The sequence below is a fragment of the Homo sapiens genome, chromosome 5, assembly GCF_000001405.40.
Source record: "Homo sapiens chromosome 5, GRCh38.p14 Primary Assembly".
Lineage (NCBI taxonomy): Eukaryota > Metazoa > Chordata > Mammalia > Primates > Hominidae > Homo > Homo sapiens.
The window spans coordinates 109,845,241-109,859,425 of record NC_000005.10 but is presented as its reverse complement, the minus strand read 5'-3'; the positions used below and the strand labels follow the sequence as shown (position 1 = coordinate 109,859,425).

At 36.7% G+C, this 14,185-nt stretch overlaps 1 protein-coding gene across 3 annotated transcripts in view; it reads right to left on the bottom strand.

Annotated features, from left to right (window-relative positions):
- Nucleotides 1–14,185, bottom strand: part of MAN2A1 (mannosidase alpha class 2A member 1) — a 179,699-nt gene that overhangs the window by 10,200 nt on the left and 155,314 nt on the right. For all 3 annotated transcript variants that reach the window (NM_002372.4, XM_017009472.2, XM_024446048.2), the window contains 3 exons: nucleotides 13,420–13,561; nucleotides 11,636–11,769; nucleotides 4,092–4,286 (listed from right to left, as the gene is read on the bottom strand). In NM_002372.4, the coding sequence (NP_002363.2) occupies nucleotides 4,092–4,286; nucleotides 11,636–11,769; nucleotides 13,420–13,561 (471 nt within the window). The remainder of the gene's footprint in view (nucleotides 1–4,091; nucleotides 4,287–11,635; nucleotides 11,770–13,419; nucleotides 13,562–14,185) is intronic.

Genomic DNA, 14,185 nt, shown 5'->3' with positions numbered 1-14,185 from the left:
GTTCCCCTTTTCATCTGAATACAAATATACGGCATATAATCATTTTCCAAAAATTGATATAAAGCAGAAAAGCAAGATATGTCTGTCTAAAAGCAAGATATGTCTATATAAAATGTAAACTCATCTACTAATATAGAGCAATCCCTGAAAGCTTGGACTTTTAGAAACAAATTTAGTAATTCTAAAAAAGTCAAATGCTACCCTCTGAGGCCACACACAGCACTGAGATTCAGAACGCCTGATTCTGCCATTTACCACTGGGTGATTTTATTTTTATCATTTAACTTAGCTCTAACTCTCACTTTCCTAATTTAGGAAATGGAGATAACTCAGCAATTTCATGAGAAACATTTTTAAAAATTACAAATTCCTAGGCTCTCCTCCCCAGCCCTATAGAATCAGAATCTCAGAGATCTGGAAATCTGTAAAAGTCTCTATGTTTAAAATCTCCCCTGTGTGATCCGGGCACAGTGAATTTGAGGACTAGTAGCTGGAACTGCTGAACCACCTCAGTGGGTTGTCATACCTGCAGCCTGCAACTCGCCTCCCTCACTGTTCTTCGAATCTATAACCCCTTATCCCAGGAGTCAAGAAAACCAACTGAGGTTTAGAATTGAGAAACCTTTAGACAGCGGCCCAGAGGGCCAAGCAAGGGCACTCTCTATCATGGTGCTGAAGGAGTTGGTCAGGCAGGAAGACATGCGTCCTTATCATGCTAAGGTGGCCTTCAGACACATTTCTCATGAAATACTGTGGTGGTTAGGAATATGCTTACTTAAATACAGGCCAATGCAGACTTCAGGTCTTGCTTGGAACCTATGTCTATTTTGACATTATTTCAAGGGGAAAAATGAGTTGCATTCTCCAAATGAACAGCCCATTATTGCACATTGGAAGCTTCCAGCACACAGAAACAGGAACCCAAACCAAAATGCTTAGGTCTGGCTTCTGTACTTATTCATTGAGTCATTTTGGTCTTTTTTTTTAGTATAAGCATGGAATTACACTGGACATTTTGTAAGTACAGCTTTCTTTGAATCAATACCCACAACAGTTCCCTTCAATGATTATCCTTCTATTATCAGGTTAGGGAATTCTTTAAAGAAGTGGTTTTGAATGGACCAGTCCTTCCTTTGGATTACTAGTGGGCTTTTAAACAACTGTTATAAATATGTGCTAAGAGTCAAAGGCTAACACAGGAACTGGCACCAACTGATATGATAATGCAAAACTGCCAAGTATTTAGTTCTGATTATGAGCCAGCATGGTAGTTATCAATAGGCATTATTAACATTTCAGTTTTTAATCTTCTTGGTCAAATCTTTATGTTGTTAAGTTGCTCTCTATTCCCTCTGCTAAAACCCTAATCTGCAACCAAGTTGGAGTAAGTGTCATTAGGATAACAAGGTATGTTTACAGAGTGCCTTTGTTCTCAAAAGGCTTTCACAATAGGATTTCGTCTGTTTTTAGCAAAAGACCTGACACAGCAATACGTGACATTAGCCTCATGTTATAAATGGTAGCTGAGTCAGCAGTCACTCAGCCCACAGGTAGGGAGGGTGGCCCACCTGTCCAAAGGCACGAAGAGCAACGGGAAGCCAGGTGGCTGCAGTAAGTAGAGGCCAGGCTGCAGAGGACCTGAATGCTCAGTGTCTGAACCAATTCAGTAGGCAACGGGATTTTTCATCTGAGAAGTGATTAGATTTGTATTACAAGAAAATAGTCAAAAGCAGGAAGGATGTGAAGAAGTGAGTAACCACAAAAAAAGGTGACATAAAAAACAAGTTCCAGGCTTCGTTTACAGAAGGTAAAACCCTATGCTCACTGACTCTAGTCAGCTCCAGCTGCTTCCAGAAAACAATCACATTTAAAACAACTACAGTGGAGGAGCCACCTAGAAGTGAGGCTAAGGGATGGTGACCGCCCATCCTCCCCAGAAGCCTCTGGGTTCTTCAGGTCGCTGATGTCCTCTACCATCTATGCTGGGTGGTGGTAACCTCAAGCCCAGAGTATTTGATGCCCTCCACTCTATTCTTTCTGTTTCTTTTAGCTCATGAATTTATGACACGACACCTCGGGGAGCCAAAATGTAGACCTACAAAAAACCACAGCAGAATCCTAGAAAAAACATCTACACAATTCACTGATTCAAAATAGTTTTTGAGATCCTATGTGCAGACACTCTTCTTCACGGGGATATAGCCATGAATAAAGGACAAGCATAGCTCTCATGGAGCTTCTGTTCTGGCCACATATCTCTCCGGCCTCAGGGCCTTCACACTTGCTCTTTTCCTGGAGCACTCTACCCCCAGAAATCTGCAGGAGTCTCTTATTCTCTGACCTTCTTCAGATTTTTACTCCATTATCACCTCTGTGAGGCCCTCTCTACACACCTTAATCAAAATTGTGTTACCTCCTTTGAATGGCTGTTCCCTTTTTACTCCTTCATAACACTTAACACCATCTAACATATTACATATTTCTCTTACTTTTTCTTGTTTTTCTCCTCCCATTAGAATCTAAGCTCTAGAAGGGCAGGGGCATTTGTGTGTTTTATGGCAGTAACTGACATGTAGTGGGTAGGAAATAAATCCTGCAAGTTCACTGATAATGATTTTAAAAAGCCTTTCAATACACACACACGCACACACGCCTCGAGCATTTGCTTGTAGTCATTATTATAAGTCATATATGTTTGCCTGCATAGCCAAGCATAAGTTCCTTATCTCTGAAGGAAACCAAAATACTTCTCTCTCAAAAAACTGAGGATTATTGAGCTGAAGAAGGAAAAAAACCAGGGGGCCATTCTGTCCCTTCTTCTGCCTGCTTGATGGCAGGACAGCAATTTACAAATACAAGAGGTCTTCATCCCTTCCTCTCTGCCTTTTCTAGTCTAAAGACAGGCCCCTTTACAAGGCTTGCTAATTAGCTAAGAGACAGCAGTGCCAGAGCATCTAGGAGCAGACTTCACTCTTCCCATAAATTTATCCTCCCACATTTTCCTACCTTTTGGAAGCCTGAAGGTGCTTTCTTCTTTGTCTTGTCTCTAGAGGATTTATGGCTCTTTGTTAAAACATTATTTAGGCAAGGTGCCAAAACCACTGCCTTGGGAAAAAAATACTTTTGAACTTAGGCCTCTCCCAAGTGACAGGTATAGCATGTACAATATACTATTGCTATTTTTCCCCTGTTTATCTGACCTTTGCTTTCAAAATTGTCTCAACTAAAAATCTATAAAGAAAAAAAAATTATATTTTTTCTCCTATATCTTAGACATAAAGTTGTAAATCTCTAATATCCAAATTATAGGCATTTATCCTTACTTTATTGCTTTAGTTCTTTGTTCTACATTAAACATTTCTCACCTCTTATATTGTCTTTAAACATGAGCATCCTCTTCTTTTCATACTTAGGCCATTTACCATGAGATATTTTCCACAGAATCCATAACCACTTACTATTTCCAGCTAAATCTATGTCAATTTGCAATATCAAAACAGCTTTGCAACACATAAGAACAATGTCAAATGTCTAATTCTTATTCTTTCCAAATGCAATCTTTTTGATGTTAAAAACAGGTATGTATATAACTGCAGTCTAACTAAATTAAATTTCATACCTAATAAAACTTCCCCATGCTTTTCCTCTAATATTTCTTCTAAACAGTTGGTTTTCTAATGGGAAACTGAGTTGCAGTGATTCTCAAGAGAAAGGTACGAAAATACAAAGCCTCTGATATAGAAATAACTAAGTACTATTTCTCTAGCTTCTGAGAGATATTGTCTAACAAGGAGAAATGAATGGGAAAAGTCACTAGTGCTAAACTTAAGGCCCAGATTGCCCACCTACTAATGGTATTTCCTGACCTGCTCGCCATACAGAACTTAAGAGTAAATTAGTATCAGGATATACTCTAAAATATACAGCAATAGTCAAATGAAAGGCATGAAGCTTTTGGCTAAAGGTGAAGCCCTGTTAATAATTCCTCAAAGCATAGTAAAGCATACATTATTTTTTTCTCCTTTCCTTACCCCCTTAAAACAAGTACATAATAAACAGTAATTTTTTATAAGATATATTTTGAGACATACCTTTGACTGTATTGTTCTCAAATTAACCAGATGAATGTCACAAGGCAAAGATGACTGTAATGGAGAGAATTCACCTTGCAGCTCAAGGGTAGGTGAGGAGAACTTATTTGCCATTGGAATGACTGGATGATTCATGAGAGAAGAAGTTATGTGGCTAAGGAGAGAAGGATAACTGACCGACTTCTTTTCTTCTTCCTATCAAGAAAAAACAAAAATGTTTAAGAGGTCTATATTTCCAGTTCTCATCATATTAACAGAATTATCTGAGAGGGTTTAATATAAAAATATATGAATAATTTGGTTTCATTACATTTTATAAATAACAGTCTTAGAAAATACTCCATAAACTACCAAGTTTAGTTGTAAGCAATAAAAGAAAATAAACAGCACACATCTAACTCATATGTTTAAAATATATCTTCCATTGATTTAATACTAAAAATACTGAAAACATTTCCTACAAACATTTCAGGACAAGGCATACCTTTTTATGAAAATTCTCAACCTATCACAAAACTCTCAAAGTACAAGGATTGGGCTGTACATAGATTATATGTTGTGCATCATCAAATATTATCTCCCTTCTCAGGTTTCATCCACCATATTCTTGTAGTTTCATTTATACCCCTTAACAAGACCATAAAGGCATATACTGATTCAAAGCTAAAGTCCATCCATGTTACCAAATGATAGGAACTAAATGTTACCCAATGACAGAATTTAAAGAAAACAAAACTCTCAAAATAAATCCAATTTTTAAATATAAATAACATAGGCGGCATGCCTAGATCATCTGATTGTTTTCTTTCAACTTGGTAAATCATTGCCAATTGTTTCACTATTTTTATTCCAAAAGTAGAAGTGTTAAATATGTTACTGAATAGTTATCACACACTTACATAGTATATGATTATTCCATATAATTTAAAATGCTTTAGTTTTTGCTATGGTATATGGTTAAAAGCAACACTTCTGTATGTTCAAACATTAAATAATCTACTAATGTTGGTAGATTAAATATGCTAGATGACATGCAAAATTAAATCAATGACTGAGTAGAATCTTAACCTAAGGAGTAAAAACAGACACAAATAACTTAGAAAATAATTTATGCAGAAAGGTCCTTTGATCACCAGTTACATTTGAACCAAATTTAATTTTGTATCTTATTTCTTAAAATGATTACTCCATTGACATCTTCTGATTTTGCATCCTTTTTGTAATATAAGGCTCAGATAAAAGGCTTGGCTACTGATCTGTGTGAAAAGACAGGATTTATAGAGATATACAGCTTAAAATTCAGAATGTCAGATTAGCATTGCACAGAAGGGTGCTAGCAAAAAGTGACTAGCATCGTGCCAGAAGCTAACATTAGATGTCATTACATTTCAGACTATGGAGAGAGAAAAAAAAAATTTTAAGACAGCAGAGGGACACTGCAATATTAAGATACTGATAAAAAATCGGGTCTGAATGAATTGTATTAAAAGAAAGATTAAATAAAGCATATAAAATAATATTCTCCAACAACACTGAAATTTAATGCAGCTCGTAGAATAACATGAATAGAGAGGGAACAATTTCAACAAGATATTTTAAATGTACTCCAAGATCAAAGGACTTCATAATCTAAGTTAGGATTGCTGACAAAGTCACTCACGAGTAATAAAACATAAAAGATTCAAACAGAAAAGAAAACACCTCCCTCATCAAATCTGGGAAGTATTAAGTCCACTCTAGGTCAAGAAACATTCAGAGAAAGCTCTGGCTTTGTTCCACACTCTTGGAGTAATTCCTCACCACTCCAGTGAGTAGCCAGAACACTTCCTGATTAATCTTCTATACTCCAGAAGCAATAACGTGCATATATACCAATCCTCCAAACCAAATTAGTTCTTCCTAACCGTTGGTGTTTCCCCAAATTAACCACACAACAGAATGAGTTGGGGCACCTCTAATCAACATAGATTCTTGGGTCCTATCCCAAATCTACACAATCTTGAGAGGTGGGGTCCTGAAAATGCAAAGCTGAAAAGCCTCCCCAGGTGAATTTCATGGAGTTAGCCGCACACTGCTCCATGACCCTGTGCCGGGAAGTGCCACCCCAGACATCCAATCTTATAGAGAAAACAGAGCTCCCTTTAGAATCAAAAGATAAACTTTACCTTTTAACTACCTTTGCATTAGAAAAACAAGATTCAGTTTCAAAGACATTTTGATGGGAGTCTTCTAAAAGGAAACAATGTCATGGATATTAAGGACTTCAAGAATTTAAAAACTGTGTAGTTTACTGTCCTTAGAAAGATAAGGAAGTTTATAGAAGAGTTGTGGTTCACTACCCTAAGAGCACCATGAAAAAATAACACTGCTGGAGGCTGGCCAGGTTGGAGTGGCAAAGTCTCACCCAGAGTTCTGCCATTCATGTACTTTCTTATCATATTTACAGCAACAAGAGGCTCAACAAGATATTAACTGTTGAACCATCAATATTTAAATTAATCTCTACAAAGGTAACCTTTCCACTGTAAATCATATGATAAACCCAAAGTTTTAAAAACATGTTTTCTACAGGAAATTTTATGTGTTTAAGTTATAAATGAATACCCCAGCCTTGTACTTAACTAATCTAGTACTATAAACCTTATTTAATTTCTTGTTGGTTGGAAGGTTTCAGACTGTATAAGTGTAGCTTTCTCTCTGCAGCCTGTCTGACATTAAAGAAAGTTTCTAGCACCTTCTGATCCAAACCACACAAAGTACAGCTCTTCCTCACTGGGTTCCAGCCCTTAGTCCATGAGTCAGAACTTCTTGCCAGACTTCTTGGTGCCCTTTATTAAGCTCACTTTGAGTTAAACGATCCTGTTAAATCATGGTGAGATAGTAAGAGACCATTTTTTAAGTTACCCTTGTTTATTCAGTTTGACTTGAAACATGGTGGGAACTTAATAAATGTCTGTTGAAGTAAATCTATTAATTTAATAAGCAAATGCAATATAAATAAATGAAAGAAGAACACTAGAGAGGAAGGGTGGAGTAAAAAAGACAAAGAGGAAGGAGGAGAGAAAATGAAGAATAATACATTGAATCATAACATTTGGAGGTAAGTATCTGTAGCTGAAGACTGTGGGGCAGATTTGTAGATCACACATTTTGGTAGGTCTGTATGGTATTAAAATGTTTTTTTTTTTTTGTTTTTAAGCCAACTCTTTAATAAAAAATTCATAATAAAAAAGCAACCTCAAAAAACCCAAAACACATTTTTTGTTTTTTACCCAAGAAACTGGAAATCTGTGTCACCCTGGGCAGGCATTCAGTCCTATTGTGGAAACAATCAGCTGGAGCTGAGTTGTGGGTCTTGGTGGGATATGTCCTCAAGTTTACTGTAGATCTTCTGGTCACCTAAGTATTTACCCTTAAACCTGGTTGATCTCCCTTATGCTGTCACTTTTCTAAACCATATAAGTATTTAATATTTTAATCTGATCTCTCCCAATTTCTTCTCCTTATATTTAAAGGTACAACAACACAATTTTAACACTTGAACACTTACAGGGTTCCTAGCTCAGTGCCTCATTAACCAACCAGTAGCAGGAAAGGGGTAAGGATAAACCGTCAAAGAAACAAATCCTAAAGCCGTCAATGCCTGTTTTTAGTCCATTTTCTGCTGCCATAACAGAATACCACAGACTGGATAATTTATCTATAAAAGAAGTTTATTCAGCTCACAGTTCTGGAGGCTGGGAATTCCAAGAGCATGGCACTGGCATCTGGTGAGGGCCTTCTTGCTGCATTATCACATGGTGAAAAGGCAAGAGAGTGCAAGAGAGCTCATTTTTATAACAAAGCCACTCCTGCAATAACTAACCCATTCCGATGATAATGGCATTAATTCATTCATGAGGCAGATCCCCCATGACCCAAAAGCCTCCCAAAGGTCCCACTCCCAACATTACCACAATGGTAGCCAAGTTTTCAACACATGAACTTTTGGGGGACACATTCAAACCCTGGCAATGCCAAAGAGATGAATCCTATTTTCCATTTCTATTGGCTTTGAGGATGATTAGCATAAATGATGGTCAACCTCGTGCAGCCACAGTCCTCACTGGACACCTGCACATATTACACAGTGGATATCATCCAAGTCCTTGTTTTTACTGACTCTCTGCAGAATTCTCTGAGGACAGGACTTACTTCCACTTAGTCAGCTCGGGATTATTTCCATGAGGCTCTGTCATGCTCAGGGCTTCCCATTAAAATCTCTTCCTATTCAGGGAGTATCCCCCTACTTCACTTCCCTCCATCATTATTTTAGATATTTGAGTCTGAGTTGAAATTAAGAACTCTTTCTAGAAAATTCAAGTTACATGGTATTAACTTTCATCAATTAAGTGTCTTTTTAATTATTTTCACTAGACATTAAAATGTATTTTCTCTTCTCTAGTTCATTTCTTATTTAAAAGAAACCATTAATTGAAGACCCAGAATCTATACTTGAGTAAAAGAAAAATTTAATCAACATAAAAACATTAAATTAAATTTAAATCAATTACTATCCAAGGAGTTCTGAATGGGAATAAACAAATTATTTCACTTCTAAGTCAAAGCTTTATAGATTTGATGTGAAAATTTTTATTATTGCAGTTAACAGAAGTTTTATAGATTAGTGTCAATATAAAGTCATATAAGCGAGAAACTTTTTCAGGAGGAGCAAAAGACAGTAGCTGTCAGCACTCAGACAATGATTTTCCTATGCAGATTTAGTCCTTAAAACTAAGCTATCTTGTCAGTGATTGATTTAAAATATGAGTCTCAAGAATGGTATGGCTCTTGACATCTAAAGTGGATACTAATTCTTTTTTCTAAAATATTCTAAATACTGGAAGAATTTTTGCTTTAATTAGCTGTTGCTATTTCATTCAATCAACTAGTATTTTGTTTAAAGAATGTCTACCAAATATAAGGACAAATGAAAATGAAGGCAACAAGTCCCTGGAATCTAGTAGGAGGAATGCAACATGCATATGAAGACAAGGTAATAGGCAGAAATTGCAATAAATACAGTGGCAAAATGTACTCTAACAGCTCATTCATCTATGCATTTCGATATTCATTCATATGACATATATTAGGCATGTCCTCTGCCAGGAACAATCCTAGAAGCAAAGAAAGGCACATTCCCCACTCTCATGGAGTTTATGGTCCAAAGGAGGGGAGAAGACAGGATCAAATAATCGCACACTTGCAGGAAGGTGAGATGCACAGTTTGGAGGCAGCATAGGGGAAGGGCTTTTAACCTGGTCCAGAAGCAGCTGATGAAGTAAGCACTAACCGGAACTATCACCAAGAGTCTCTAAGGCAGAGGATAACAGGCCATGTGCAAAAGTGCGGTGGGGAGGAGGGGATGGAAAGTACTTGGGACTTAAAGGAAACCAGTGGGCCTAAAGCAGACACAGTAAAAGGCATGCCAATGCCAATGCCTAGGGGACATGCAGGGCCCATATCATGAGGGGCTCTGGAGGCCGTGGTAAGAAATTTTGACTTTTATACTGATAGCAATGAGAAGATATCAGAGGGTTCAACAGGAAGCAATAAAGTTAGATGTGGCTTTGAAAAAAAACAAAAAAAAAAACCATTCTGCCTTCTGGGTTAAGAACAGACATACGGCAGAAAGAGAACAGGGTGGATGTGTATAGGCTAGACCCAGGAAATACAGGAAGTCACTTTAGATTAGGGTGGTGGAAGTAAAGAAGATTATAAATTTGAAATATTCAGGCAATGAGATAGATAGGTGATGGCAATTACTCTGTGAGAAAAGGCTGATGGGGAGAAGTGTCTATCAGGCAGAACTCATGTCTGTCTTGGAGTTGTATGGATGGCGGTGGCTGTTGACTGGGGGGAACACTGAAAATGGGCCAGGTTTGGGAGAGAAGAGAGATTATGAGTGTTTTGGATATGTCAAACTTGAGGTGTCCTTCTAAACAGAGAATATCAGGAAGCAATTAGATAGATAAATCAGGAGGTCAGACACAAGCCTAAGTTGGAGATATGTATTAGTGGCTTCTACCTGTGTGGAAGATGCAAACAAAACCAGAGGAGTAGAAGAGATTGCCAAGGGATAGCATAAAAAATAAGAAAAGGAGAAGGCCAGGGGACATGCTTTGAGAGCTCTAAGATTTAATGGCTGAGTAGAGAACTATTAGAGAGATAAAGAACTGCCAGACAGGTAGGAGGAAAACCAAACTGCATAGCTCCATAGAAGCCCTGGCAAGGCAGTATTTTAGAGAGTGACAATGGCCAGTGCCAAATACTGCTGAAAGGTGAAGTAAGATGACGAAAGTCAATATGCACTGGATCTACTGACATCGGAAAGAGCTCTTTCAGAATATGATGGAGGCTAAAGCCAGACTGAAACAAATGGATTGTGAGAAGGAAGTGATGAAATAAACTCATCTCATAAACTCTGACTCAATTGGGTAGGAGAGAAGAGGATAGCAGCTTACAGGAAATGGAAATAAGAGTCTGAAGGAAGGCTGTATTCCATTTCTACTTTTAATAGAAGAAAACAGAGTGTTCAAAAGCTAACAGAAAGAATCTCCCAGGAAGTGTTGGATATGAGGAGCAAGGGAGAAAGAGAGAGGGAGAGAATGAACAGTAAAAGGATGCTGAGGTGGGTGAAGAGAGTAAGTTCCAAGGACAAGTGGTGGGACCTGCCTAGGATGATGGACTGTAAAGTGTCTTTTAAATGTAACAGGAGGAGAGATGGGAAGGGTGGGAGTAGATGTTAGATAACTGGAACAGAGAGCCCTGTCTAATGGCTGTTCTCTCTATAAAGTGAAAGGTACGATCACTGGCTGAAAAGAGCAGAAAGGACTTGCAATGGTCAGGTGCAGAAAGGAGAATAGAGCAAAAAGAAAAAGCCCATGCTCAGGGCTATCCAAGGTGGGTGGATCAATAACTTACGGAGAACTCTGAAGATAACTTTGCCTGAACAAGCATATCGTCAGGTCATTCAGGTCCAGCTGGGCTTTTGCCAGACCATTCAACACAGAGTACTAGATTTTTGCTTTGAGGAGTAAACCTCATAGAAAACCTACATATAAATACATTTTCAACTGAAGAGTCTAAGACTAGAATAAGTACACTAAGATTTCAAATAAATTTTACTAAGATTTCAAATAAAGTTTACCAAATTTAATCTCCTAAGTATATGACTAAGTTCTATTCTTTAACTTTTATTTAGCTCAATTTTTCAATTCTTATGTCTTTCAAAATAATTTCAGGAATATTTACCCAAAGTGATTTCCTGTCATTATTTTTTATCTACATAATAAGCAAACATAAAAAATAAAAAGACCTAAGTGCAAATCTTACACGATATTTATAACTGAAGTTCTCTTTCTGTGAATGTGGGCCACATCTACTATAAAGAAATCTCAATATTGGAAATGATTTTTAAAATTTTAAAAGTGGAAAGTCATAATTTCAAGTTTTGGGTGACAAAGAACAATCAATATCAGATCATGCTAGTTATTTTTTCATACCGTATTAACAGCACTTCTTTTTTCTAGTAGTATTCGAAATAGATTAGCTGTAATCTTGTTATCCTGGATACCTTGCTCAAGGCCACGATTATCATCTTGCATGAGTCTTCGATCCATGATAACTTCAATCTGACCTAACACACAAACAAACAAACAAGCAAAACTGACCAGAATAATTTAATACTGACATTCATTGAGCATCACTTAAGTAGCAGTCATGATGTATTGCTCTAAATTTCCTCTCTAGTCAAGGAGGTGGATTTATACAACCCACTACACCATGGGCTTTCTCTTGATAGTAGCTCAAAGTAGCTACTACAAATTCATAAAACAGGATAGTATTTCTGTGTTTCTTTAGTAATGTTTCACAATATCTGATAAGAAATTTAAAAGTGAGACAGGACAGATCAAAATTTAAATGAAACTTTTTTTCCAAAACATTAACCTAAAGAGTAAATTAAGTTCTCCGAAACTTTTAGTAGCACCATTTGGAATCAAAAATGCTTATGAGGTTTATTAGGAAATGTACATCACATTTCCAGGAAGTGAGATAATGCTGCTTTGTTAACCACGGCTTGAGTCTTACTGTCTAGTCCTCTATTTAGGGCACAGCTTTGAGAATTTAAGGCAGTGTTTAAAAATGAGTGGCTCAAGAGTCATGTACGGCACAAAGATGTTTTATGTTTTCTCAACATAGTGTTTTTTAAAAAATTGTATCAATATTTTACAGATTGAACAACTTCACGTAAAATTCCAGACTTCTGGACTCTTCTTCAAAAAAAAATTGAATTTAGCAACACTGGGCCCCTAACCACACAGCAACAATGCTGCCCCACTGCACATCGGGAACATGCTCTTCAGTTTGCTCAAGTCTCTAACCCTCCCTACTGGATCCCTGATGTGGAACCATTACTACTTTCAAAATCGAATTCATGTCTTTATGGCATGAGTTTATATGATCTTATCTAATGAAGGCCACAAAGAAAAATGAGAAGTAGCAGTTTTTGTGTGTGTGTGTAAGATACAGAATGCATGTATACGCCTCATGTAAAAAGTGGGCTTGTGTCAAAGGACACACCAGGAATCTGCACTCAGTTATTATCTGGCTCCTTCAGATATGTATCTCTACCAACTCTTAGAATGTAAGAAGACCAATGATACCATGTATGATAACCAATTAAAAATATGTATTATAAAGGATCAAAGCCTCTCAATAGAAAGACTTGCAAAAATTAATCAGTGTCTATTGACTATTTTCTCTCACTTTCTGCGCATCACTTTCTCTCTTTTGGAATCCTCAAAGCCACACCTCTTTATCCCCATATCTCTATCATTTCTACTCCCTTCCTTCTTTCAGGTGGTAGCAGAATAGAAAGACCATGATTCAGAAAAGGACCTAAGTTTGAACCACAACTTCCCAACTTTGCAAACGTAGGCAACTTATCTAAACCTCTGAATCTGAGTTTCCACATCCGTTAAATCATAATGATGATGGAGACCTCTGCAAAATACATACTATTAGGAGAAGCAAATTATCTTTAAAAAGAAATCTTGACATGGAATTTTAGGTCTCCTGTTCTTCATCTGAAGATTTAGGAGATTCATCTTTTTATGTTGTTCTCACAAAACCCAAACTTAACTAATAGTCTGGTTGTTGAAAGAAAAAAGCTGAAAAGAAGACAGGGAGGTTTTAACTAGAGATTATACCACATCTGACCAACAGAAAAAGTATACAGTTGGAATTGAAACCTTTCAGAGTGGAAAAGAGTGTAAGCAATACATACCACTATTCAAACTCGAAACCCCTAATGACTGAGCAGAGAGCAGTGTCAAACGATGTTTGGCATCCTGGATATAGGCCATTGTGGTCATGGGATAGACATTTGCTTGAAGAGGCAATTTGCTCAGTGTCATTCTAGGTTGAATCTATAAAACACAACAATTCCATCTACAAAAAGTGATATTTACATATGTTCTTTTAAAAACTTGAGGACAGGTGATTTTTCTTCCCAAGAGAAAAAGACAAAGCTTCCTTTTTATTCAGTGGAAGAAATAATTTAAAAATTAAAACATTATTTAAAACAATATGAAGAAAAACCACAAGGATATTAGAAAACAACTTTTAGGTGGGAAAGGTAGAACTTGTCCAGATTTTTAAAATAGGCATTCCTATTTAAATTCAGAATAAAAATGCTTAAAAGTCTTCTAGCTCTCCAATATTTGCATAAAACAAATTATAAAGGTATTAAGTATTCATTTCTCATCTAAATCTAACAAACTGCTTTTGTAATGAATGCTAAGTATAATACCTCTCTATCCCCTTTCAAGAAATATCTCTTATTATTCTTGAATTGGTTTTAATAAATACCACAGGTCTCTGCACCAAATCTTCTAAGATATTATGTTAAAATCAAATGCATATTTATATTTAAAAACCATTCAGTGCTTACTCTTTTTGATTAGTTTCAATGTAGATAGTTCCAAATTCCAATTCCTTGCAGCCTAGTACCTGAATGTTTGAAATATGACTCTACTTTTTGAGAAAGACTG